The sequence below is a fragment of the Homo sapiens genome, chromosome 1 (assembly GCF_000001405.40).
Source record: "Homo sapiens chromosome 1, GRCh38.p14 Primary Assembly".
Classification (NCBI taxonomy): Eukaryota; Metazoa; Chordata; class Mammalia; order Primates; family Hominidae; genus Homo; species Homo sapiens.
The window spans coordinates 14,780,644-14,807,339 of record NC_000001.11 but is presented as its reverse complement, the minus strand read 5'-3'; the positions used below and the strand labels follow the sequence as shown (position 1 = coordinate 14,807,339).

Sequence of the window (26,696 nt, the reverse complement as noted above, 5' to 3'; positions counted from 1 at the left end):
GCTGAAAAACCAGAGATTTTCAGAATGACTCGCAAAGCCACACTGCTGAACTGGGCCCCCAAGGTGGCTGCTGCCTCTTCCAGGAATCAGACCCAGGCAGCCCCAGAACCTAATGTCCTCTGCCACAGTCAGGAAGCTGTGCCCTCCTGCTGGTTGTCCTGAAACCAGGTTGTGCCTGCCCAGATCTGCACCAGCAAAATAGATGTGCTGGGCCCACTTCTCAAGCCCCATAGGGCATAGGGACACTGCTGAAACGGCCACAGAGAAACCAAGTGCCTCAGCAACATGCTGGCCAGCAGAAGTGGCCTCTGCCTCCTGCCAACCATCTCAATCTCTGTTGGCCAAACCTGGATCCATGCAGATCCCTAGCTGCAAGGGAGTCCTGACACAAAGCTCCAGCTTTCTGGTCTCTGCAAGATAGGTGGGCATGTGAGAACAAGAGTGGGATTGTTGATGAGTTTATATATTCCACATGCTCCTGCAGAGTGGGTACAAATGTTACCCAGACTATCTGGATTCAAACTCGGTTCTGCCACATCTCAGTCCAGTGGCTCCAAACCTTGGAGCAGAGGGTGCCAATAAGCCCCTCTCAAGCTACTCCCTGACAGTAGCTCAAGATTAGACAGGGATGGTAGTGGTTAGGTTGGGAGTGTGTTAGATTCTGCACAGATCAATGAATAATTAAATGTACCCAAATTCCTTAATAATAGCACAGTCAAGAAGCCTGGTGTGTTTCTGAATGGGGGCAGACAACATGAAGAAAATGGAAGACAGTGCCTGTCTGCATATTCCCTTGGACTCCCAGGATCTCTCCTGCCAATCAACCCCTCATTGGTGTTCTCTGAGAGCCATCCGGCTGAGAAAGCCCAAATGAGAAGGTGTCTGCAGGGGATGATTGGCTTCAAGCATAATTCAGCATCTTGCCAGGAAGCTGGTCTGCCAAATGATAAAATAAGAAATATAATTGAATGTCAAAAAAATGAACACGGCAGGCCATGGACTGACATGCCAAGCTGCTAGCCAAAACCCCCTCCCAGGGAGTGTCAATCATGTCTAGGTGCCCCTGTGGGGTGATGGAACCATTAACGAGCTGGCATCAGATGCTGAGACAAAGGGAACAGAGGTGTCTGAGTACCTGGGGGAGATTGGCCACACCCTTGAGGAGCTTCAGGCTTTTCCCTAAAGGCCAGAGGAACCCTGGGGAGTTCCTCCAGTGGTCCCAGGGCCCTGGTGGAAAAGCCATCAAAGGCCATGCCCTCACATTTATGTTATAGTCTGGCCTCCAGGAACACTGAAACAAGAGATGCTTTGCCTGTTCCTCCTAAGAGGAAGAATTCTAAAAGCAACCTTTACCATCCACTGAGCCCTTACTGCACATTAAGGCTAGTTGTTCTTTAATTGTATTATCTTGCAAGTGGCAAACACTGCAATCGCCTCCCAGCATGTACACCCCCTTCAAGTGCAGTTATGGAATATTCTCTCCACCTCCTTTCCCCCCAGATCCAGCTCCCACCTATCTAGCCAGATTTTAATTTATTATTATTATTATTATTATTATTATTATTATTATTATTATTTTGAGATGGGGTGTTGCTCTGTCTCCCAGGCTGGAGTGCATTGGCGCGATCTCTGCTCACTGCAACCTCCACCTCCCAGGTTCAAGTGATTCTCCTCCTTTCTCAGCCTCCCGAGTAGCTGGGATTACAGTCATGAGCCACCATGCTGGGCTAATTTTTGTATTTTTAGTAGAGACGGGTTTTACCATGTTGGTCAGGCTGGTCTCGAACTCCTGACCTCAGGTTATCTGCCCGCCTTGGCCTCCCAAAGTGCTGGGAATATAGGTGTGAGACACCGCACCCGGCCTAGTAACCCAGATATTCCATTTTTCCAGCTTCCTTTGTAGCTAAGTGCAGCCACGTTCTGGCCAATGGAAAACGACTGGTGGAGCTGGGTAAACTTACAGATCACATCATTTAAAGAAACTGCCTCTACCTCCCCTCTCCCCTGCTGTGGGCTGCAAAGGGAATGGAGAGTCAGCTTCGGCCCTGAAGCAACACCCCAGCGTGAGGCACAGCAACAAAGCAGAAGGAATCTGGGTCTCTGGACAACCTCATGGGGCAGAGCTACCCTGGACCACCTCCTCTGGACTCTCACAGAAGAGAAAAACACCCTTGTAGCTTGTTTACTGCCTTCCAGGACTTCTGTTCCAGCACCTTCACCTATACCCCGACTAGTACGCTCTTCAACCTTTGCAGTCACTTTGCACAACAGGTACGGTTTTCTCCCCATGTTACAGAGGAGGACTCTGAGGTCCAGGGAGTTTGAGCAAGTGGCTTGCCCCACATCAAACATGAAAAGGAAATAATTAAAATAATTAAATGTCAACAAAATGAACATGGCAGACCACGGGCATGCCAAGCTGGTCACCAAGACCTCCACCCATGTGGTGCCAATTACGCCTAGCTGTCCCTCTGGGGAGTTCCTCCAGGGGTCCCCAGAGGGAGCCGTGGAGCTGAGGCACCATTCCTAGCCTGGCTATGACCACAGCTCGTCTTGATCTGCCACTCAGAACTTAGCATCCTGCCAGAGTCTCTGTGGTGTTGACTCCTTACCTGTATCTGTGCATTTTCAGAAGTTGAACCAAAGAGCCTGATGTGTCTCTCCTAAAAAGACTGGACGTGGGGAGGCCTCTTTTTCCATTGCAAAGCTGAGGATTGGGTACATCGGGGGTCAGGGCTTGGTAAACAGGGGTGATGTGTTGACATCTGCTATTTTGCCTCCATCTCCCTATTCCGGTAGTAGCACCCGGGTTTTGTGGGAGATCTCCCCTGTACTCTCAACTCATATGGTTGAGGCTGGCTGACCCCACTGGGCCCGAGTTAGCCCAACAGACCCTCTGTTCCTGGCATGGGAGTTTTGAGTGGGGAGACACAAGGACTTACAAGCCAGAGGCTTGTAAGCCCCACCCAGCCCATCCATGGGGTCCCTGCTTCCTGGCATCCTGGCTGCCCAAGACCTGAGCCTTCCAAGCCTTGCTCATCAGCTTTCCTTTGGACTGGGGAGCTCTGCCAGATCCTCTGAATTAATTTCCCACTTTGCTTACGTTTGTTTCCAGGGCTGGCCTCTCTTCCTTGCAATAAAGACCCCTGCCCAACAGAATTGCCAGGAGCCAAGTGTGGAGGGGGACAGCACAGACCATGTCCAAAGATGACACCAGGGGTCCAACAGAACCATTTGTGAGCCCTGGAGCTAGACCTGGGGGCAAAGCTTGCTAGGCCAGGAGCTGGCAGGCATTGGAATGGGACACAAGATCAGGCAAGAGGCTGAGAAGAGGGAAAAGGACAGGGACTGGGTGAGGACTAGGGGACAGTGTTTATCTTTCTGGGTGCTGGGGTGTGAGCGGGCTCTGATGAAATGCACCATGTTCACTGGAGGACAGGATCTGCCTTGGGGCTCCTTAAGTCCTAGCACATGGAAGAGGAAGGCATGGATTGGAAGGAAGGCCACCAAGGCTCCTGCCTGCTGACCACATCCAGTGGCTCCAGAGCGCCAATGTGGAGTGCCAGCCCTCCGTGGAGAAGGGGAGGGTGAAGGAAAGCCTTGGCATCGCCTCTCCAGGCCGTGAGAGCAGGGCTCGGGAGGTGCCGTCGTAAAGCACTGGAGTGACTCCCCAGAGGAAGAGGGATTTTGGGGGCCCACTTGTGGCTCTGCCTAATTTCTGTTGGAGAGACGGAGCTGGGGCATCATTCATGGAGGACAGCCAGAGCCACGGGCACTCAGGGCGGGGCTGAGCACTCGCTCCAGGTGGGAGGCAACATTGGCATGGGGCCCTCTCCCGCCCAGCTAGACATTCCTGCCATCAGGGTCAGAAGGAGGATGGCAGCTTCAGCATCTCACTCCCTGGTCCTTTTCCAGGGACCTCGATGCCTGAACTTTCATCAGGGCCAACTCATGCACCAGGGACAGGAGGGACAGTCGGGTCTGGCACTGATCACTCACCAATCGTGGAGACAGCAGTGAAGAAACAGGTCAGCTACATCCGGGGCTGAATCCCCCTCCGCTAATCCCCACCTGGGTACCTGAGGATGACTTGCTTCACTTCTCTAAGCCTCAGTTTCCTCCTCTGTAAAATGGGGACACCAATACTTTCCTCAGCAGACACTGCGCAGATGAAGGGAGGCTTTAGCACAGCGTTTGTCTTATAAGGAGCCCTCAGTAAACGGTAGCCATGATGTAGTATTAGGCACAATAACATGTATCTCTCACTTCTCTTTTAAATCACATTTGCATACATAATGTAACTCTGTCTTCATGAACACACTGGGAGGAGGGTGGGTCAGAAAGCAATATTTCCATGTTTGCGATGAAGGAATCAGGCTCGGAGAGGTAGGTGGCTTTCCTCAGCCCCTCTGTGGGTTGGGGACAGGGCCAGCATTCAAGCCAATGCTGCTCACTCCTCGTTCCCTTCTCGTTCCACTGAGTGCCCTCCCAAGACAACAGTGATAAGAATAACAGGCTCCATCACCGAGTGCTCATGATGTGACAGGCTCCTTGTCCTGTTAATCATCACATTTAACCCTTAAAAGAGGCCAGCTGGCCCAACAGGGTCCGTGTCTACGAAGAAGTCTCCAGTGTAAACTCATGGTGTTGGAACAGTGTCTGTGAACAGCGGTGCCGGGAAGCAACCCCCTGATCGTGGAAGCACAGGAGCAGGTTTCCCAGCCCCGAGACGGCTGCGCTCTGGGACCAGACACTTCTCTGTTATGGGGGCTGTTCCGTGCATATAGTAGGACAGTGAGCAGCATTCCAGGTCTCCACTGACCAGATCTCACTAGTAACCCCCCCATACCAGTTGTGCCAACCAGACACATCTCCAGGTATTGCCCAGTGTCCCCTGGGTGGCAAAATTGTCCCAATTTTTTTTTTTTTTTTTTTGAGACAAGAGTTTTGCTCTGTCACCCAGGCTAGAGTACAGTGGCACAATCTCAGCTCACTGCGACCTCCGCTTCCCGGGTTCAAGCAGTTCTCTTGCCTCATCCTCCCTAATAGCTGGGACTACAGGCACAAACCACCACACCTGGCTAATTTTTGTATTTTGAGTAGAGACGGTTTTGTCATGTTGGCCATGGTGGTCTCAAACTCCTGGCCTCAAGTGATCCACCAGCCTTGGCCTCCCAAAGTGCTGGGATTACAGGTGTGAGCCACCATGCCCGGCCATTGTCCCAATTTTGAAAACTACCACATGGAGAGAGTCGACGAAAGCTTTCTGGACGAGATCATTCTAAAAAGCAGGGCATGACAGAGGAAGGGCTCAGAGGACAGCTCTCTTCAGCGCAGAGAAAAAGTTTAGGAGAGAGGCCAGGCACGGTGGCCGACGCGTGTAATCCCAGCACTTTGGAAGGCCAAGGCGGGCGGATTACGAGGTCAGGAGATAGACACCATACTGGCTAACATGGTGAAACCCCGTCTGTACTAAAAATACAAAAAAATTAGCTGGGCGTGATGGCGGGTGCCTGTAGTCCCAGCTACTCAGGAAGCTGAGGAAGGAGAATGGCATGAACCCGGGAGGCAGAGCTTGCAGTGAGCCGAGATCAAGCCACTGCACTCCAGCCTGGGCAACAAAGCGAGACTCCACTCAAAAAAAAAACAAAAAAACAAAAAAAACAAAAAAAACTTTAGGAGAGACCTTGCAGCCCAAGTACATAAACTCATCAGCAGTCTGTGTCGGAGCAGGCCAGGCCGTCATAGCCCTCCTGAGGAAGCCCAGGGCATGGTAAACGGCCACTATCTGGGGAGGCCTCTGCTCCTTCCCGGGGAGGTGTAGGTTTTATGGAGGATGGCCATCCTAAATCACCCTCTCAGTCCTAGGAGAGCCCCAAGAGCCTGCGGAGAAGGGACCCAGCCACTCTCTGGACTGCGGAATGTGTCGTCACCTGCCTGACCCCTCACACCTGGCTTCACCTGTGCGTGCCACCCCTCGTCACGAAACCGACAGTGAGCGCCAGTCAGCCAGTCATAACGGCACAGACTTTCTCCTGGTTTTGACTCCCTGGACTCAGGAGAGACGCACATTTCCCCGAGGAGCTTGCTGAGCGGTGACGGAGAGAGAAAGCCACGATGATGCTGAAACACCCTGAGACGGCTCCGACTGGCTCGAGAGGGCAGCTGCCGGAAAGCCCCCCACTCACTGCCTGCCTCTGCTTTGCCGCGACGATTAGAACGGCTCCTCTTATCACCACCCTCTGCGCCCCGTGACTCTTTTTCTCCCACGTATTTCTTTTTTTTTTTTTTGAGATAAAGTTCATCGATCATAAAATTCACCCTTTTAAAGTGTACAATTCAGTGTTTTTTAGCATATTCATGAGGTTGTGCAACTATCACCGTAACCTAATTCCAGAACATTTTTATCAGCCCCAAAAGAAACCCCTACCCACGAGCAGTCACTCCCCACTTCCCCTCCCACAGTCCCCGGCAACTACGAAGCTACTTTCTGTCTTCCTAATGTACAGACTTCCCTAATCTGGACATTTCCTATGAATGGAATCATACAACGTGTAGTCTTTTGTGACTGGCTTCACATAGCATCACATTTTCAAGGGACATGCATGTTGTAGCATGTGCTTCATTCTCTTTTTTGAGACAGGGCCTCACTCTGTTGTGCAGGCTGGAGTGTGGTGTTGCAATCATGGCTCGCTGCAGCCTCCATCTCCCAGGCTCAAGCGATCCTCCCACCTTAGCCTCCAGAGTAGCTGGGACCACAGGCATGTGCCACCACACCAAGCTAATTTTTTAATGTTTTGTAGTAGAGATGGGGTCTCACTATGTTGCCTAGGCTAGTCTTGAACTCCTAGGCTCAAGTGATCCTTTTGCCTCGGCCTCCCAAAGTGCTGGGATTACAGGCACGAGCCACCGTGTCTGGCAATTACTTCATTCTCTTATGGCTTAAAAATATTTGATTGCATGGATTGACCACATCTTGTTTATTCATTCACCTTTTGTTGGACATTTGGGTTATTTGCACCTTTCAGCTCTCATGAATAATGCTGCTGTGAACGCTCATAGGAGTGTTTGTGTGGACACACGTTTTCAGTTCTCGTGGATGTATACCTAGGAATGGAGTTGCTGAGTCATATGTGGTTCTTGGTTTTGGGATCACAAAAACCTGGAGATCTGCCATGCTGGGTCAGCCTTGGGGTACTTTTGGGTTAGGATTCTGCCTCCCGTAAATCTCTGCTGTCTCCTCATCTGGCTCATCATGGACCTGCCATCCCATTCCCAATACATCCAAGCCTTGAGTCCCCACGACACTCATACTTCCCTAGATATGCAGATAGTCTGACAACATCTCCAAAATTCAGGAGAAGAAACATGTCAGATACTTATAACTTTGATATGGCCTTCGGGGACATCTATTATCTAATACCGTTTCATTAGAAAAACATGAAGATATAAAAATGAACTCAAGGAGAGGAATTCTGATGGGGGTCTCCAAGGCTTCCTATAAAATATCGTGTAAGATTTCAGAAATGAAACTAAATTGTACATTAAATTTTTTTATTTCGTTGAAGCCTACTTTTCCAAAAAAAAAGTTCTTAAGGGGTTTCTGGGTAAAAGTAAAATCCGCTTGTTAATTATATCCTGAGCCCACCATCGCACGAGGAATTTTGTTTTCTTGACATCGACCAGATCTGATTAAGTGAATGGTCAAGGAGGTAATAACATCCCCTCTTTGAAGAGCTGGCTCTGGCCAGGCCCGTTTCTGATCATTTTAACAACTCGACTGGTTCCTCTAAAAAATTAAATGAAAGTTAGCCTCGAACCTGGAGGTACTTTTCCATTCATTTACTGTCGGTCCACGTCAATATTCTAAAGAGGTTTCAAGTGTTCCTCCTTTTTGAATAATTTATCATAGCTAATGAAAGCTTTAAAGATTGGCTAACGTGAAAGCGGAACAGGCATTCCCACAGGTGTCCCAAATGAAGCCTTTCTGGATGAAGAGATGAAAATACCCATTTCAGCTTCTGCAGCCCTGAAGCAATTCAGTTGATGGAGTTTACCTCAACTTAAGAAGGATTCATTGCGCATCCATTCTGAACACATCCTGTACAAATGAGATGTAAAGTAGTATTAAGAGGGGGCCTTAAACAGGGTAGGATAGGTTATACCGCAGTAACAAACAATGCCACAAATGTCAGCAGTTTAAAATAACGAACACATGTCTTACTGGGTCTCTGTTCATCTCACCCTCAGAGAGAAAGTAGTCCAGGCACAGTGGCTCATCATGCCTGTAATCCCAGCACTTTGGGAGGCTGAGGCAGGCAGATCACTTGAGCTCAGGAGTTTGAGACCAGCCTGGGCAACCTGGCAAAACCCCATTTCTATGAAAAAACAAACAAACAAACAAACAAATAATTGGCTGGGCGTGGTGGCACTTGCCTGTAGTCCCAGCTACTTGGGAGGCTGAGGTGGGAGGATGGCTTGAGCCCGGGAGGCAGAGGCTGCAGTGAGCCGAGATCATGCCTCTGCACTCCAGCCTGGGTGACAGAGCCAGACCCTGTCTCAAATAAAATAAAAAAGAAAAAGAAAAGAAAAGAAAAAAGAAAGTGGGCCGGGCGTGGTGGCTCACGCCTGTAATCCCAGCACTCTGGGAGGCTGAGGCGGGAGGATCATGAGGTCGGGAGATCGAGACCATTTTGGCTAACATGGTGAAACCCCATCTCTATTAAAAATACAAAAAATTAGCCGGGTGTGGTGGCGGGCGCCTGTAGTCCCAGCTAATCTGGAGGCTGAGGCAGGAGAATGGCGTGAACCTGGGAAGTGGAAAGTGGAGCTTGCAGTGAGCCGAGATAGGGCCACTGCACTCTAGACTGGGTGACAGAGCAAGACTCTGTCTCAAAAAAAAAAAAAAAAAAAAAAAAAAAAAGGAAAGAAACAGAAAAAAGAAAGCAAAGATCACCTCCGAGGGCTATTGATTTCTTTGTGGAGAAGAGATGTTTACTGACTGACATTTTCAAGTTGCTTGGATGCTGCCCTACTTAATTATGTTCTACTTTGTAAGTGTGGGCTCCAGGAGAGAGTGAGCCCTCCACTAAGAGGGCAAGCAACGTAAAGATAGCACCGTGGTTTTACTCCTTTCCCGTTTGCATTGATGCTCCAGTGCCAGGCTCAGCATGGAGCAGGTGACCCAAAACTGTGTAAGCGGCAGCAACAGGGAGCCCAGAGGTGTCATGCGTGAGTTTGAAACTTGCCTCTGGCACTCACAAGCTGCATGACTCAGACAGTTTTCTTAACCTCTCTGTGCCTCAGTTTCCTCATCTGTAAAGTGGGGGAGATAGGAGTCCCTTCTTCCCAGTGTACAAAGAGCAACTGAATCAGTGCCTGTCAAGCACCAAGAAGGGTTCCTTGGCACATCGTGGGCATCGTGTTTTTGATGAATAAATGAGAGCTGGCATCTTTTAAGTGTTGAGTTAGGAGTTGCACTAAGCACTCCACAAGGACTATTTCATTGAATCCTCACGGCTACTCAATGAAAGAGACATGCTGTGATGACCATTTTGCAGATGAGGAAACTGAGGCTTGGAGAGGTAATTTGCCTGGGGCCCCGTAACTAGTCCAAGGTGGAGCTAAAATTTGAACCTGGATCTTCCTGACTCCAGGGCCGACACTCTGTCTTGAAGCTATAGAACCTCTATTTGCAGAATAGAATAAAAAAGCTTAGTGAGATCAGTGATAAAAATGAATGAGATTGCCCTCATTTTTCTTGATTCGATGTATTGTTAACTCTGCATTCCGCCTTTTAACTCTTTAACTCTTCACTTGGCCTTTTAACATTCTTGGTTCCAACACACTTTCTAATCCCCTCACATCGATCCCTCTTCATAGACTCTCATCTCCTGGAACGGCTTCCAGGTTCCCACTGCTAGAGTCTCCAGTTAGCGCTTCTTGGACAAAACATAGTTAAATTAAAAACAGCACCATAGGCCAGGGATGGTGGCTCATGCCTGTAATCCCAGCACTTTGGGAGGCAGAGGCAGGCGGATCACCTGAGGTCAGGAGTTCAAGACCAGCCTGGCCAACATGGTGAAACCCCGTCTCTACTAAAAATACAAAAATTAGCCAGGGGTGGTGGTGCACGCCTGTAAGCCCAGCTACTTGGGAGGCTGAGGCAGGAGAATCACTTGAACCCAGGAGGCGGAGGCTGCAGTGAGCCGAGATCATGCCACTGCACTCCAACCTGGGCAACGAGAGCAAAACTCCATCTGAAAAACAAAAACCAAAAAACAAAAAAACCCAGCACCACCTTTCTGCCCTTTCTACCTCCATGTGTGTTACCTAAGTGGCCACCAAATGATACATCAACATAGCTTAACCCACTGCTTCCAAGTCCATCAGGCCGTCTTCACCATTTTCCTTACATGGGGTACCTGGGAGCTGCCCTCACCACTGAGTGGACTCAGGTCTTCCTTCTCTTTGTCACAGTCATGCTGTGGAGAAACGGGCAGGTTGTGCCATCTGTTCGAGACTCTTTCTCCTTTCAGTCAAGTTTGTGTCTTTCTTAAACTCACCCCTTCCTTTCCCACTCCTTCAGGTGATGGGGGCGAGGACTCTCGTGTTATGCCAAAGGCAGTACTTTGAGGAAACACCCAATGGAGAGTCTTCCCTGGTGCCATGCTTACAAATGAAGAGACAGTGATCTTCCAAAATACGGCGATACATAGAGCTGAGCCGAACCATGCACGTCTATACCCTTTTTGTAACAGAAACGCATCCTGGAGCTCTCCAGCGATTCCAGACTGTCTGAAGAATTGTCAGTTTCCCTAGTCTGTAGCGCACACCTACCATGTGCCAGGCTTTGTTCTAGAGACTGGGAATCAGAGCTGGGCAGGACAAGGTCTGTGGAGCCATGGAGCTCATGTGAAGGCGGGGTGGTGGAGATGTGGTTGTCACAGGCTGGTCTGAATGCAGGATGGGGACATGACACGTGGCTTCACTAAGACATGGGCCTTGAGTTTGGAGAACGGAGGTGGCCTGAGCTTTGGCTGGGAAAGCCCGGGTGTGGGTGGGGAGAGGGTGCCTGAGAGGACCATGCCCAGCCCTGGATTGAGGCATGTGCTGCTTATTTGCAGGAGTGAGACCCAGGCTTATCTGTGGGATTACACATCTCTGAGGGAGAGAAGAACCAGGACCAGAACGGAGGCCAGAAAGTGGCTTACCTAGCATGTCCGACTGGAGGGGCCAAGTCCAAGAAGGAAGAGAGGCGAAGTGGGGCCTACCTCAGGCAGAGGATAGATTCCTCCCATGAGGAGTTCACCACTAGTGGAGGCGGTGGGGAGGATAGGCCATAAAGAAACACACAGCAAATGTACAGTATAGAAGGCAGAAAGAAACACACAGCAGGCCCCGGGGAGGAAGAATGGGTGCCGGTGAGGGTTTCCTGTGTTAGACAAGGCTTTCTGAAAGGTGACCTTTGTGCAGAGTCCTGAGTGATGGGGAAATGAGGGAAACAGCATCCCAGCCAAGGCAACAGCATGTGCAAAGGCCCTGAGGGAGGCAATGTGTGTCATGCCACAAGAAAAGCAAGGAGGTCAGAGGGGCTGGTGTGGAATGAGGCCAGAGGGGCTGGTGTGGAATGAGCACCAGCTCATGCAGGGACAGATGAGAATGGAGAGGAGGTGAGAGCCAGATCCCACAGGGCAGTAGGTGGGAGCGAGGTTGGGCAGATTTAGGTTACTTTTGCAGGTTCTGATGGATGGGAAAGAGCATGCATTTGGAGGACGCCATGAAGCCTGAATTTGAAAATAAACGACTGCAAGGAGGGGAGCAAATCTGTGAATCCATCAAAGATAAAAAGCCTCTTAAATCCATCTCCACAGTACATAGTACCTACCTACAAGTACCATGCTACCATCCATATCGACAAGTACCTACTATGTGCCTGACACAGAAGAGATTACATCTAGGCGTATGCTCATTTCCAGACCTCCCTAAGACCCCGTGTTGTGCTCTCTGTGGAGTCCATCTGCACACCCCTTACAGGGTTAACACAAGCTTTCACGGACTGCTTCTCATTTCACCCATTGTATTAGTCAGGGTCCTAAAGGGACAGAAGTAATAGGATAGATGAATACATGAAGGGGAACTTATTAGGAGAACGGACTTACGTGATCACAAGACAAAGTCCCCACAAAAGGCCATCAGCAAGCTGAAGAGGGAGGAGCAAGAAAGCCAGTCCAAGTCCCAAAACCTCAAAAGGAGGAGGCTGACAGTGCAGCCTTCAGTCTCCAGCCAAAGGCCCGAGAGCCTCTGGCAAACCACTAGTGTAAGTTCAAGAGTCCAAAAGCTGAAGAACTTGGAGTCTGATGTTTGAGGACAGGAAGCATCCAGCACGGGAGAAAGATGGAGGCTGGAAGACTCAGCCAGTCTAGTCCTTCCATGTTCCTCTGCCTGCTTTTATCCTAGCCGTGCTGGCAGCTGATTAGATGGTGCCCACACAGATTGAGGGTGGGTCTGCCTTGCCCAGTCCACTGACTCAAATGTTAATCTCCTTTGGCAACAGCCTCACAGACACACCCAGAAACAATACTTTGCATCCTTCAATCAAATCAAGTTGACACTCAGTATTAACCATTACACCCATACAGCCTGTGAAGTACTTACTGATACCCAGTGGTGTGCATGAGCTGACTTCACTGGCTCCTGAGAGCCGACTCCCATGACTCTGCCATCAGGGACATCAAGTAAGTAGCTTAAGTATTTACATCAAGGAAATTGGCAAACACCACACACCAGCCTCCCCGCTGCCTCCTACCCTGGCCCCGCAGTGAGAACTGGTTGTTCAACACTTACCAGCACACCACTGGCTACACCCATTTAGTAGGGGAGGCAACTGAGGTTCAGGAAGATAAAGGCCCACAGCCTTGGAATGGCAGTGCTCCAAATCCAGAGATCTGTTGCCTGTTGACAGTTTGTGGATGATGGCCAATGGTTCTGGTAGTAGACACTCTACCAGGGATGGTTGCTGAGGTTTCATTCTGGATGCCACAGGAATTTTTAGGGATTTCCACATCTCTTTTGCGTCCTAACTCTGTCGGGTTTAGATGAGAGTCAGCAATCCCCACTGCGCTTTCCATGAAATGAGTGCCCTCTTGCTGACCCTTTACAGCTACACTTACAAGAGGGCACCCTAGAAGAACCGGTGGAGAGTGGGCCCAGGATGCCACCTCCAAACCAGGTTGCATCCTGAGGAGCACAGGAGAGGAGAGCTGAGGCTCAAGGTGAGATTTTAGCAAACGCTGCTTATGTAACTGCTCGTGAACAAAAGGTCAGGACCTGTGGTGTTACTTTTGATTACCCTGAAATAACCAATCTGGTTTTTAATTTCCTCAGGTGGAGGCTGCGGGCTGTGTGGTTTCATGGGGCCCCTAACAGGCGAGGGCACGGCCTGGGGAGGGTGGTCTTGTTTGCCAGAGGAGGAGCCACCCGGAAGGCACACAAGTGTGATTTATATCTCAGGTCTCACTGGCTTCCAAATACAAACTAGGCCCTGTTCTGATCTGTCTCAAGTCACAGAGCGTAAGGAAAGCTCTGAGCAGGAAGAATGAAAGACTGGCTTCCAAATACAAACTAGGCCCTGTTCTGATCTGTCTCAAGTCACAGAGCGTAAGGAAAGCTCTGAGCAGGAAGAATGAAAGCAAACATTTATGGAGCACATACTGTGTGCCACCCACCATTCTAGGCACAGACACACTCACTTAATCCTCACAATAACCCTATAACCAGGTACTCTTGTTATGCCCATTCCCATTTTATAGCTAGGTAAACAGATACAGGGAGAGAGGTGAATGAATTGGTTTGGGGCCATATAGCTAATAGCTAGTAGAGTTGGGGTTTGAACCCAGCTGGTCTGCCTCCAGATTCTCAGCCCCTAACTTCTAAGCTGCATGGAGTAGGCGCTGCAGAAGTCAGCCACGAAGCACAAGGACGTGCCGTGCATGTGGAAAAACATCTTAAAGGAGCCTGGGAAAATGCAGTGGGTCCTTGGGGCTCCTCTCTCAATCCTCTCTTTCCTTGGTCTAGCAAAGCCAGGCTACCCCCGGAGATGCCATCGCCTGGTGCTGATTTGCTCTGCCATCATTTCCTGCCCAGGCCACTGCAGTTGCCTCCTAACTGGTCTCTGCCTCCATCCTTGCCTCCTCCATGCCACCGAAGTCGGGGGTCCATTCCTATCCTGCTGAAAGCCATCAGTGGCCTCCACCGCCTTAACATGCCACACACACACCTGCCTGGGCTGACCCTCATCTCCTCCGGCTGCTTTCCCAAATGCAGTCCCGCCAACTGTGTCCTGAATGTTTTTTTTTTTTTTTTTGAGACAGAGTCTCACTCTGTTGCCAGGCTGGAGTGCAATGGCACGATCTTGGCTCACCGCAACCTCCACCTCCTGGGTTCAAGCTATTCTCCTGCCTCGGCCTCCCAAGTAGCTGGGACTATAGGCACATGCCACCACGCCCAGCTAATTTTTGCATTTTTAGTAGAGACAGGGTTTCACCATGTCGGCCAGGATAGTCTCGATCTCCTGACCTCGTGATCTGCCTACCTCGGCCTCCCAAAGTGCTGGGATTACAGGCATGAGCCATTGCGCCCAGCCATGTCCTGGACCTTAAATGCACGCTGCTTTCCTCCTCTGTGCCTTTGCGTTTGTCTCTGTGCCTTGTGCTGTTCCCTCTGCTTGGCACACCCTCTCCCATTTCCTGCACCGATTGTTTCCTCATGATGCTAGTCAAGATTCCTCTCCTTTTGGAAGCCACTAAACCTCCAGGTTGAGGTAAGGGACCCTCTGGGCTTCTAATGTACCTGGGAGATGGCTGTAGACTTCTTCCAACCTTGTACTGCCACTGGGATTACAAGCATAAGCCACCACGTTTGGTAAGTACTTCATTCTTGTATGGCTGAAAAATAATCCACTGCATGGATTGACCACACCTTGTTTAGCCATACATCTGTTGTTGGACATTTGGGTTTTTTGCACCTTCCAGCTCTCAAGCTGATATTCTTATCTGCCTCCCTGCACACAGGTGACTGGGGGCAGGGATGCTAGCTTGTACATTTTGTCTCCTTAACACCCAGCACAGCATCTGGCAAACAGTAGATGCTCAGTAAATAACCACCAACTGAATGAATGAATAAATGGCCACCTTTCGGATGGTCTACTTTTCTACCAGGTGGCAATTCTGATTCAAGTCTTCCATCTGACATCAGCAGGCAGCCCTGTGCTTGGGGTGGGTGGGGTAAGGAAGGGTATAGATGAGAAGCAGGGGGAACATGAAAAGCATTTGGAAAGCACAGTCACAGTGGTGCCAACTGAAGTCCCCGCAGCATTGACCGAGGTCACCCCGGCTAATGTGGCTGCTCCTCCAGAAAGCCAAGTCCCATCCCCACTGCTGGCAGATCACACAGAAACAACAGTCATCCCGCAGCCGCTGCCATGGGATCAAACGCGCTGCTGAAAGCAAAGCTGTGTGTGCGCAGGGATCAAAGGCTGGTGGCTCGTGCCTGCTGCCCTAGCACCTCAGGCAAGCGTGCCAGGGAGGCCGGGAGCTGCTCTCTGCAACAGGATGTTCCGGAAGCTCGCCCAGCTCCATCATCATCTCCAGTTTCTGCATTCCCCTGGGGACTAAGCTCACTCTCGCCGTCCTCAGTGGACTCTTGGGCATCTTCTCTGCAGTGTCATTGGGTACTTTGTGGGCAAGTGGAGGGAGGTGACAGGGAGGCCAGAGGCATGTCCAGGGACCAGAGGCACATTCCTCCACCAGGACCAGAGACTGGGGGCTTGCAAGTCACGCAGAATCTAACAAGCGCAGCGTGTTGCTTCCTTGGCCCAGCAGAGCTGAGCAGGTGTTTGGAATGATGGCACAAGCAAGCCAGTGGGCGAGTTTGGAAAGAGTTGTGTCAGGATGAGGCTCCAGTGACATTTCAGGACAGAAGAAGGGGCAAGTGGAGAGGTTTCTCGTGTGCAGGTGTTGGCGACTCAGCCCTCCTCCAAAGCCACTTATCTGGGCCCCCAAGCTGGCGGGAAGATGCCCTGGCTGCAAACTCTGCCTCCCGGGTGATGAAATCTTAATAAAATGCATCAGGAAAAAGGCTGTCCCAGCAGATTAAGGGTGAAGGGACAGAGTTCAAAGAGGAACAGGAGTTGATGATTTAGAGGCATCTCAAGGCTGTTTCGAGGGCAGGGTTGTCTGTTAAGCACAATGTAAGCAAGCAAGGAAGTGGAGGTAGGGTGGGATGAGACTTGGAGGCAGAGAGATGGCAGCAAATGGAATCCAGCCTGCCCTCCCTTGGAAGCCAGCGGGGGCCGGTGCGGTGGCTCACACCTATAATCCCAGCACTTTCAGAGGCCAAGGCTGGAGGATCGCTTGAGCTCAGGAGTTCGAGATCAGCCTGGGCAGCATGGTGAAACCCCATCTCTATTAAAAATACAAAAGTTAGTTGGCATAGTGGTGCACGCATATCATTCCAGCTACTCGGGAGGCTGAGGTGAGAGAATCGCTTGAGCCTGGGAGGAAGAATTTGCAGTGAGCCAAGATTGCACCACTGCACTCTGCCTCAGCAACAGAACAAAAAAAGAAGTCACCGGATTCCTCCAATTCTAGGAGACCTGGTGGGAAAGGCCAAATCCCTGGCTGGCGGGACTTGGATTGGACAACTTTGTGAAAATTGCTTGAATGACTTCCCAACAAAAGAACTGCCACATACTTAAAGCTAACAAAAAGCCCCTTTGCTTTTTAGGGTGCTGTAAACATTCTGTAATTAGATAGTGGTGATGGTGGCACAACTCTGTTAATATACTAAAAATCGCTGAATTGTACACTTAAAATGGTGAATTTTATGGTATGTGGATTATTATATCTTATGGTATGTGAATTATTACATTTTCCAGTAAATGAATTATTATATTGCAAAATAAGAAAAGTGGAAAAAGCCCCTTTATTCCATGTATATCCCATCCTGGGTCAAGAAATTCAGGAATGCTGCCAGGCATGGTGGCTCACGCCTGCAATCCCAGCACTTTGGGAGGCCGAGGTGAGCGCATCACTTAAGGTCGGGAGTTCAAGACTAGCCTGACCGACATGGAGAAACCCCGTCTTTACTAAAAAAAAAAGAAAAAAACAAAATTAGCTGGACATGTGGCACATGTTTGTAATCCCAGCTACTTGGGAGGCTGAGGCAGGAGAATTGCTTGAACCTGGGAGGCGGAGGTTGCGGTGAGTCAAGATTGCGCCATTGCACTCCAGCCTGGGCAACAAGAGTGAAACTCTGTCTCAAAAAAAAAGAAAAAAGAAAAAAAAAGAAATTCAAGGAATGCCAAGATATGGTGACTCAGTTATAGGAGACCATATTCCACAAAGAAAGAAAAGAATCCTTTGACAAATGGTGGTTAGGAGATGTCATCTACTCCGTGCCTGGAGCAATTTGTAGCCAGAGCATAAGCTTTAATTCAGCAAACATATTAACTGTGTGCCAGATACTGTCTAGGCTCTAGGGATTTTTTTTTTTTTTTTTTTTTTTTTTTTTTTTTTTTTGGTAATGAGGAGCTTAGAGTCCTTGCCTTCAGAGTAAGAATGGGGACTCAGATAAGAGGACAGATGACTTGAGGACAGGACAGAACACACCATAGGCAGGAGGGAGGTGCTAAAGTTTTGTTTTAAGGAGGCCCAAAGGGGGACCAGGTCCCATCTGATCACAGGAAACAGGAAAGGAGACATGGAGAATGTAGAATCAGAGATGAACCTGGAAGGGTCCCGACTGGTGGGTGTCCCGATAGATGGAAATGCTTCCCAAGGCTGGTTCAGGTGAGAGGCACCAGAGGAGCAAAGGTTCAGCCACTGGAACATACACAGGTGTTTCCATTTGCCTGGACAGTGGGGCATGTGGGGAAGCAGAGGGAAGCAGGTCTGGAAAAGTGAGGAGGGTCTTGCACATCAGCTGACCGGAATGGATGGATTTGGTCTGTGGAAACAGACTTTATTGGACAGTGACTTAATCACATGTGTTCTTCCCTGACTCTGGGATGGCTCTAGTTTTAAGCAGTAAGGCAGACAAGGTTTGCCTTGGGAAGCCCTCCCTACAATCCCGTCTACCAGATTCCTGGCGTCCTCCTGTCCCCAAAGCCCTCAGCCTGAGTAGGCCCCCTCCTGGGAGATGCTCAGTGAATATCAAATGAGGGAATGAACGAATGCTCCCGACATGTAAGACCCTCATCCGCATATCAAAACTAACCCGTCCAGTGTCCCATCCCTTCAGGACTCTGCTAGAAAAGAGCCAGATTATCTACTCACTTGTTCTCATGAAGGCATTATGGGAAGTTAAAGGTAACCTTCCCAGGTAAAGGTAACTGCGTTTGTAAATTGATGATCTGGAGGAGATCTTAACCCATGGGATTCTGATGGTGGTGTCTCAGGGTGTCCCAGACATCAGAGGTGGCTGTCCACATGCCTCAGATCACACCACTTCCCTTCTTAGGTGACCTCCTACGTGTACAAGTGACCTCCCACGTGTACAAGTGGTGACCTCCCACATGTACAAGTATCTTAAAGGTGATGAAACTGCAGAAGAAAAGCCATCTCCAGCTTGGAAGATGAGTGTCGGTAGCAGCAGAGTCACCACGGTCAGGCCTCTGGGTCGTAAGCTTTGACGGAGGCCCTTTGGTGCCTGGTGCTTTAGGGTCTACTGGGTCTCAATGCATCTTTTATTCATGCAGACAGGTGCCTGTAGCTCATGGCTCATCACTCTAAAAGCCTGAGGTAGGAGAAAGAAAACCTTATAAGCCTTTGTGCTGCATCGATCTTCTTGGACAGAGACTATTCTTGAAGGCTGCCTCCCCATGAATTCAATTTACCCACCCCGGCTTCCCCGAAGCACCTCTTAGTATTTGTGGTTAATCACAATTCATTTGAGCTAAAGATTTATCTTCCCTGCCTTACTCCTATTGGAGTCCCAACCATCTTTTTCCATCTGCCACAGATTTGTCTTTTGGCCGTGCTCCTGGAGGGAGAAATTTGATGAGCGAATGAGCTTGCAGGCTGGAGGCCCGAGAGCCAGTACTCGCCTATCCCTGGCTGATGCGTTTGGGGCTGGGGGTAGGATGGTAGCACTGAGACAGGGCTGGCTTCTGGCATGCAACCCAGGCAGGTGCACAGAGCCCCATGCTTAGAAGTGCCCTGTGTGTGCTTTAATGCTCTGCTGTTGCTGTCTTGAAATTCATAATTTTTGAACAAGGGGTCCCATGTTTTCCTTTTGTGCTGGGTCCCCACAACTATGCAGCCATTCCTGTACAGAGCCATTCCTGTGCAGCGGCTCTCACCGCTGATTGGCTTGGTTTTCTTCTGGGGCCACTGACATGGTCCTAAGTCTGACTGATCTTTCGAAAATGGTGAATCATTGATAACAAAGTTGTTACTGAACTGGTTCCCCAGGTTTTCTCCCCACGGCCTCCACCCCCGTTCAGGCCTCACCATCACCTCCCTGGGCTATTGCGGATTCCTAGACAGCTGTCCCTCCTTCCAGAGCGATGCAGGTCCACAGGGCTGTTGTGCACAACTGCAGGGGGCGCCAGTCATCCAGAACTCACAGTGAAAGGCCCCCTGGAGCACCAGACACATTGTACTCTCTGTGAGTGATGCCCCTGGAGTCGTACAAGGCAGAGGCTCGACAAAGTAGCTGCCAACATTAATTGTAATGGCCAACATTAATTGAGCTCATACCAATATTCCAGGTAATTCACTATGCACTTGACATGCATTTGTTCAAACATTTAATCCTTACCAGAATCCCAGAAGCAGGTAGTAGTACCATGGTCATTTTATGGACAGAAAAGATGATGCTTAAAGAGATCAACCCAAGTACACTAGCTGAGAGCAGGGATTCCAGAGTCAAGACCCCTGGTTCAAATGCTAGCTTGGTCACTGATCAGATCTTGACTTTGAGCCAGTTATCCAACCTCACTATGCCTTGGTTTTCTACTGTAACATGGGAGTAACGAGAAAAACGCCTACTTCTTAGTGTCGTACCTCTCAGGATTAAAAGAGCTAATACAGGTAAATTACTTCCACTCTTCAGCACATGTGAAATGCAATGCATACGTGAACGCATGTATTGGCCATAATTAATACATCCAAGGTCACATAGGTAGTAAATGACCAAAATCAGACTTGAACTCAGAATCAAAGCTCCAAGTTAACCACTGGCCCATTCTGTCCTCCAGGAAGAAAACCAAGAAATCCCAAGTTGAAAGGCATCAGCAAAGTGTGCCTAATTCAGTCTAAGTCTAAAGATGTTTGGTGTCAAGAGTTGGAAACTAATAAGCAGAAAACATGATTCAAAATGTTGACTCTTATCCCTAAATGTATGCTGTTCGTTGGCTCAGAAATGGGTCATTTCACCACATTTCTTCTAATGGCCCTTCACTGTTTACTAGAAGATTCACCCTGGCATATTTCCACATAGTAACAATATTGTTACAATATGAGATGTCAGCACCACATCCTTCTATTAAATGTCTTGCAGGAGCTGAGGGGAGAGTGCTAGGGTTATCTGAGAATTACAGGGTGTGCAAATTGTTCAGGCATTGCTGTATACAAAGGTATTTTTTTTCTTTATCCTGATTCAGTGAGTCGGGAAAGAGAGCAAGTGAGTGCATTTTAAAGATAGGCATCAGGTTATTCAGATGCAGAGCCGTGGCCTTTCTAGGTAAATGGCAGATGAAAATGAAATGCGCTTATAGTGGCTCCTTATTTGAGCTTGATTTTCTTGCAATCCATTCAAGGTGCCAAATCACCATGCCCGGTTAGGCCCAGTGTGAGGTTTCAGCTCTATGTGCTCACAAAGGACGTACGATTGAGGAAGTGTGGGTTCCAAATTACCTCCACTCTCGGGGAAGAGCGGATGGCTCCAATGCCATATGCAAAAATCATGCTGCTGCTCCCCAAACTGCAGTTGACCTTGAAGCCAATGACAGCATTGCCTGGCTTAAAATATTAACTAGAGAGTTACCAGGGAGAGCAGGCGCCTGAGCTATAATTGTTAATTAGTAGCCAGTACTGCAGTGCCCAAGATACAAATGACAAGAAAGTAACATCAGATTTAGACTGTTTTTAGATGGAGTTGGAGAGTCATGCTATGTAAGAGTTTATCTGACTAAATAAGTGCTTTAATAAGATGAAATATAATTACAATGATAAGAATTCCCTTTTACTGAGCACCTACTGTAGACGCCAGGCATTTTGCTAAGCACACACCCATAAGGAGGTCACTGGATTCTAACAACGATTCTGCAAGATCATTATTAACATTCCCATTTTACAAGGGAGGAAACAAGTTCAGAGATGTTGATTAACTTGTCTCACAGACACTAAGTGGCAGGGCTGAGGTTTCAACCCAGAGACAGTTGGTTTGGAAGCGTATGCCTTCCACCTCCTCACGTGCCATGTGCTGTTATTAATATTTTTCAGGAGGAAGCACAGCTCTGCAGTGAGAAACATTGCCTCTACTTCTTGAGTAACAAGGAAATAACAACAATGATCAGGGCAAAGAGGTGGAAGTATATTATTTAATCTTCACAACAATTCTCTAAGAAAGATATTATTCTCATCTCCATCTTAGAGATGAGGAGACTGAGGCTTAGACGGGGTAAATAACTTGTCCTGGGCCATAATGATAGAGAGGTAACTGTAAAGTCTGCAAAGGGCAGGTGGGGAAAAGATGAGAAGGTGTTGGTGAGGGTCGGAGCAGGAAGGTCACTGGGGAGAGGGAGTAACATGAAGCTCCCGCGGAGGAGGTGTAGCAATTTTCTACAGCGCCAGAGGAACGGGCCTCCCCTGAGGTATCCATTCTGTCCACAGGGTAAGATTTGGCGCCATATTTGTTCTCCATGACACCACTCTTAGGCCATAGCTGATTGGACCCCAAGAGAACATCTGACCCAAACCATCCAATAAGATTATTTCTCTCAAAAGCCTGAACTGAGAGACACTGAGCCAGTCAATGACAAAGTTCCCAAGGGAAGGTTGGGAAAGTTCTTCCATGGGGGTCCACAGGGCTGCCTTGCTTGCTTCCCAGTTTTCCCAAGGCTTGGCTGTCAACTTTTTTTGGAATCCATGAGACACGCTTATATTCCTCCAATAAATCCCCTTTTCTACTTAACTTGGCTGACATTGGTCCCTGTTACTTGCAGCCAAATGAATCTTAGGGTCCACGCCACTCCTTAAACACCTTCTAGAAGCTTGACGTTATGCACCCCCGTGCTTACATCTTAATCTCTCAAAGTACCCCCGAGGCATTATCTCATTTTACAGCTTAAAAAAAAAAAAAAAAAAGTAAGCAGTCTAGCCGAGATCAAAATCAAGATGTATTTGACTTCTGGAACTATGTATTTCCGATTCGGGGCTGCTGAGAAGAGGCTATTCTCAGACATGGTGATATCACTCCAGCCCAGTGCCCACATGTATTTCCGCCTGTCCCAGAATCACCCTTTGTTAATTTGCAGCTTTCTCTGGTCTGGAGTAGTCACTTGAATGACTTTTTTTTGAGACAAAGTCTTGCTCTGTTGCCCAGGCCGGAGTGCAGTGGCATGGTGTTGGCTCATTGCAGCCTCGACCTCCCGGGCTCAAGTGATCCTCCCACCTCAGCCTCCCAAGTACCAGAGACTAGAGGCATGTGCCACCACGCTTGGCTAATTTTTGTATTTTTTGTAGAGACGGGGTTTTACCATGTTGACCAGGCTGGTCTCAAACTCCTCACCTCAAGTGATCTGCCCGCCTCAGCCTCCCAAAGTGCTGGGATTACAGGTGTGAGCTGCCATGCCCGGCCCTTGAGTGACTTTGGGTGCTGCTTATGGTGCCACACCTTAATGCAGGGAGAGAGGAGGAGGGTCTGCAGAGAGCCCATACCTCCCCAGACTCCCTCTCTGATGGTCAGTTTTCAATGTCAACTTGGCTAGGTTATAGTCTCCAGTTATTCAACCAAGCACTCATCTAGGCGTTGCCAGGAAGGTATTTTGTAGATGTGATTAAAACCCATAATCGGTTGGCTTCAGGAAAAGGAGTCTGTCCTAGATAATCAGGGTGGGTCTGGTTCAACCAGTTGAAAGGATGTGGGAGCAGAGCTGAGGCTTCCTTGATAAAGAAGAAACTCCACCCGAGGCAGCAGCTTCACCCCTGCCTGACCAAGAATTCCAGCCTGCCCTGTGCGTTCCAGACCTGCCTCACCAACCCCACCATCGCCTAAGCCAATGCCTTCCAACAAATCTCTTAATATGTATCTCCTAGTGGGTCTGCTTCTCTGGTTGAACTCTGACTGGTACAACCCTTCTTAGGGGTCACTGCTGTCCACAGATGAGGACCCCAACTTTTGGCACAGTCTCTCCTCGCCTCTCCAGTTTGGTCCTCATAACCTCTATTCATCGCAGTCTCTCTGGCTCCAGACTCAGCCTCAAGTCCTCCACCCCCATTACTTCCATCACAACCCCTGCCAGGCCAGGTCTCTTGTGCGCCCATGCCCTTCTGTCTTCCAGGAGCCCCTCTGCCGTGCCTGCCTACCAGAAAACACCTACTCCTCAGCCAGGACCCCGCTCAAGGCCACCGCCTGAGTGAAGCCTTCCATGACTTCTTCAGGCAGGCACGGTGCTCTTCCCTCCATACCCAGATGGCTAAGATCGACAGCAGTGGGATCATTTCTTAGCACTTTCTTGGCTTGGCTGTTCTCACCTGAGGACAGAGAGCATATCTTTTCACCTCTTATCTCTAGGGTCTAGCCCAGGACGTGGCACATAGATAAATTTTTGTTCAATAAATGCCTGAATGCAAGCATCCATGCCTAGGGTCCTGGTTTTGCAGAAGAGAAGTCCTGGAGCAGAACTTGGCTTCTCGGGGTCACCGTGAAGGACAGTTGGTTTTTATCAGTTCTCTGCATGTGGGCTCTTCCTCTTGCAGTGGCTCAGTCTGCAAAAGGAGCCCCTGCTGGTGAGATTTTCTGGCCTCCCTGCCTGGCTTTGGGCTCTATTATTAGGATGAATTCCTGCATGACCTTTAAGATTAAAACTAAATGTTCTGATCTCTCCCCAGACAGGTATTAGGTGCTGGAAATGGCATTTTGCAGGGACCATGTTGAGTAGCAAACTCCAAATATCAGCCTCATCACATTCTGACATGTTACAGCCAATCTAAGCTGAGGCTGCACTGAGCACTTCAGGGCTGAGCACCCCCTAAAGGCAGCAATTTTCTCTTTTTTTCATGCTAGCTCCTCCAGTGGGCATCTCTCCTGAGTCTCTCGAGAAGCTACTCTTCAGGGAAATGAGACCTACGTCCTTGGTATTGCCTCTATCTGCTGGGGTTACCACAGAGAAGAGGGTTATCAGCAAACAAAGGTCAGCAGGACTGTCAGGAAAAATTAGCCCTCTACAGATGCCGCCAGGCCTGCTGCTATAATCTGTAATGAAAACATTTGCAGCGAGGTTGGGGGGATGCCTCTACCCTGGGATTCCTCCAGCGACTCAGGAAAACCACAAATGGCCTTAATCAGGAAACATACTAAGAGTTCCTAGATTGGGACTCCTTTGATTAAAGGGAAAACCTAATTAGATAATTGTTTCCATAGAAACTTAGGTATATTTATTATTGCTTTTATAGGCCTCTTCAATTACTAAAATGAAGGAACACACTTTAAGCATGGTCCAAGTTTGCATAGGAGGTGCATTTCTTTTTCTTTTCTTTTTTTTTTTTTTTTTTTTTTTTGCTCTTTGAGGTGGAGTCTTGCCCTGTTGCCCAGACTGGAGTGTAATGACGCGGCCTTGGCTCACTGCAAACTCTGCCTCCTGGGTTCAAGCGATTCTCCTGCCTCAGCCTTCCCAGTAGCTGGGATTACAGGTGCGTGCTACCATGCCGGGCTAATTTTTGTATTTTTAGTAGAGACGGTGTTTCACCATCTTGGCCAGGCTAGTCTCAAACTCCTGACCTCAGGTGATTTCACCCGCCTCGGCCTCTCAAAGTGCTAGGATTACAGGCGGGAACCACCGCACCCAGCCGGGAGGTGCATTTCAATGAGGAGCTAAGAATCATACATTTGCAGCTGCTCACTTATCGATCAATATATTTGCCTAAAGAGGGTGGAAGTCCCATCTTCGGCATTAGAAATAACTGCTGGTTCCTACTAGTCATAATTTTGATGCTAATAATAGCAAACACATATATGGCATTCTTTATATGTGCCAGACACTATTGTAAACCTTTACAAAAGATCTGACAGACAGGTTCCATTCTTATGCCCACTTTACAGATGAGGACACTGAGGCTCAGGGAGGTGATAGAACTTGTCCAAAGACACAGAACTCAAAGTGGTGGAGTCATAATTGAAATAAACAGAACATGGATCGTGGAATTCAGTCCGTATATGAACCACCAATTATTGACAATTTTTTATGATTGGGGGCTGAATTCACATTAATTTAAAAATAACAATAGCTTCCGTTTATTGAGCATGCTTATGTGCCAGAGATTGTGCTGTTTTTCATGCCCAGGCTGGTCTTGAACTCCTAGGCTCCCATCTAGGCCTCCCAAAGTGCTGGGCTGGGATTACAGGCGTGAGCCACTGCCCCCGGCCTCTTGATGGGTTTTAAAGGTACAAACTACTACAGGAGGTGCTGACTAGCCTCTAAGTCAGTAACATTGCAACCTTGAATTTGAGAACTGAGAAGGTCCCCTCCTATCTGGACCCCTCAGTTTTCAACATCTTCATTTGCTCTTATAAATTAGGCCAAATTCCAGATGTTCAGTTTGCATTTGTAAAGGCTGCTCGAGCACGCATGTTTAGAGTTGTAAATATCCCCTTCTGAAGCTGACCCTGGGCTTAGAAAACACAGTAATTCATTTTAAAATCTGGCACCTGAAAGGACATTTTTAAATGGGGATATGATTTCTTAGCACTTGAAACTGAGGTTTATGCCTTTTTTGTTTTTTGTTTTTTTTCTTCAGACAGAGTCTTTCTCTGTTGCCCAGGTTGGAGCGCAGTGGCGCGATCTCGGCTCACTGCAAGCTCCGCCTCCTGGGTTCACGCCATTCTCCTGCCTCAGCCTCCCGAGTAGCTGGGACTACAGGTGCCTGCCACCATGCCCGGCTAATTTTTTGTATTTTTAGTAGAGACGGGGTTTCACCGTGTTAGCCAGGATGGTCTCGATCTCCTGACCTCGTGATCCACCTGCCTCGGCCTCCCAAAGTGCTGGGATTACAGGTGTGATCCTCCGCGCCCGGCCAAGTTTCTTGCCTTTTAATGTTATTTACTCTCGGTGCCTTCAGTGTCCCCCACTCCACTCGGCACCCTCTGGGCTCCTGTAACTCCAGCTGCAAGTGCAGAAGGGATTTTGCTGTTTCCGAACACCGAATCCTCTGCTTCTTCTCTCCTCCATTTCTAAGTCAAGATAAAAAATATTTTGAACTTTTATCAGTTTATACCTCAGTCAATAGCGGAGCTCAGGACTCAATTCACTCTAGACTGGTGATCATCAGTCATTGTCCCTACAATATCAGAAGGAAAATCATACACGATCATCACCTGTTAGTGTCCATGGTATTCCAGGTGCCATGCTGAGCACTTCGTATTTTTTATTTCATTCTGTTTCATCTGTAGCCTCTAGAATAGTACTTTGTCTT

The 26,696-nt window shown here is 48.8% G+C and overlaps 1 protein-coding gene and 1 long non-coding RNA gene across 12 annotated transcripts in view; one reads left to right on the top strand and one right to left on the bottom strand.

Annotated features, from left to right (window-relative positions):
• KAZN (kazrin, periplakin interacting protein) overlaps positions 1-26,696 on the bottom strand; it is a 1,225,220-nt gene that overhangs the window by 310,704 nt on the left and 887,820 nt on the right. The gene's annotated exons all lie outside the window — the stretch shown is intronic.
• LOC105376759 (uncharacterized) lies at positions 2,134-5,933 on the top strand. Its single transcript, XR_001737612.2, has 3 exons — positions 2,134-2,271; positions 3,916-4,028; positions 5,863-5,933. It is a non-coding gene; the product is annotated as an uncharacterized LOC105376759 (long non-coding RNA).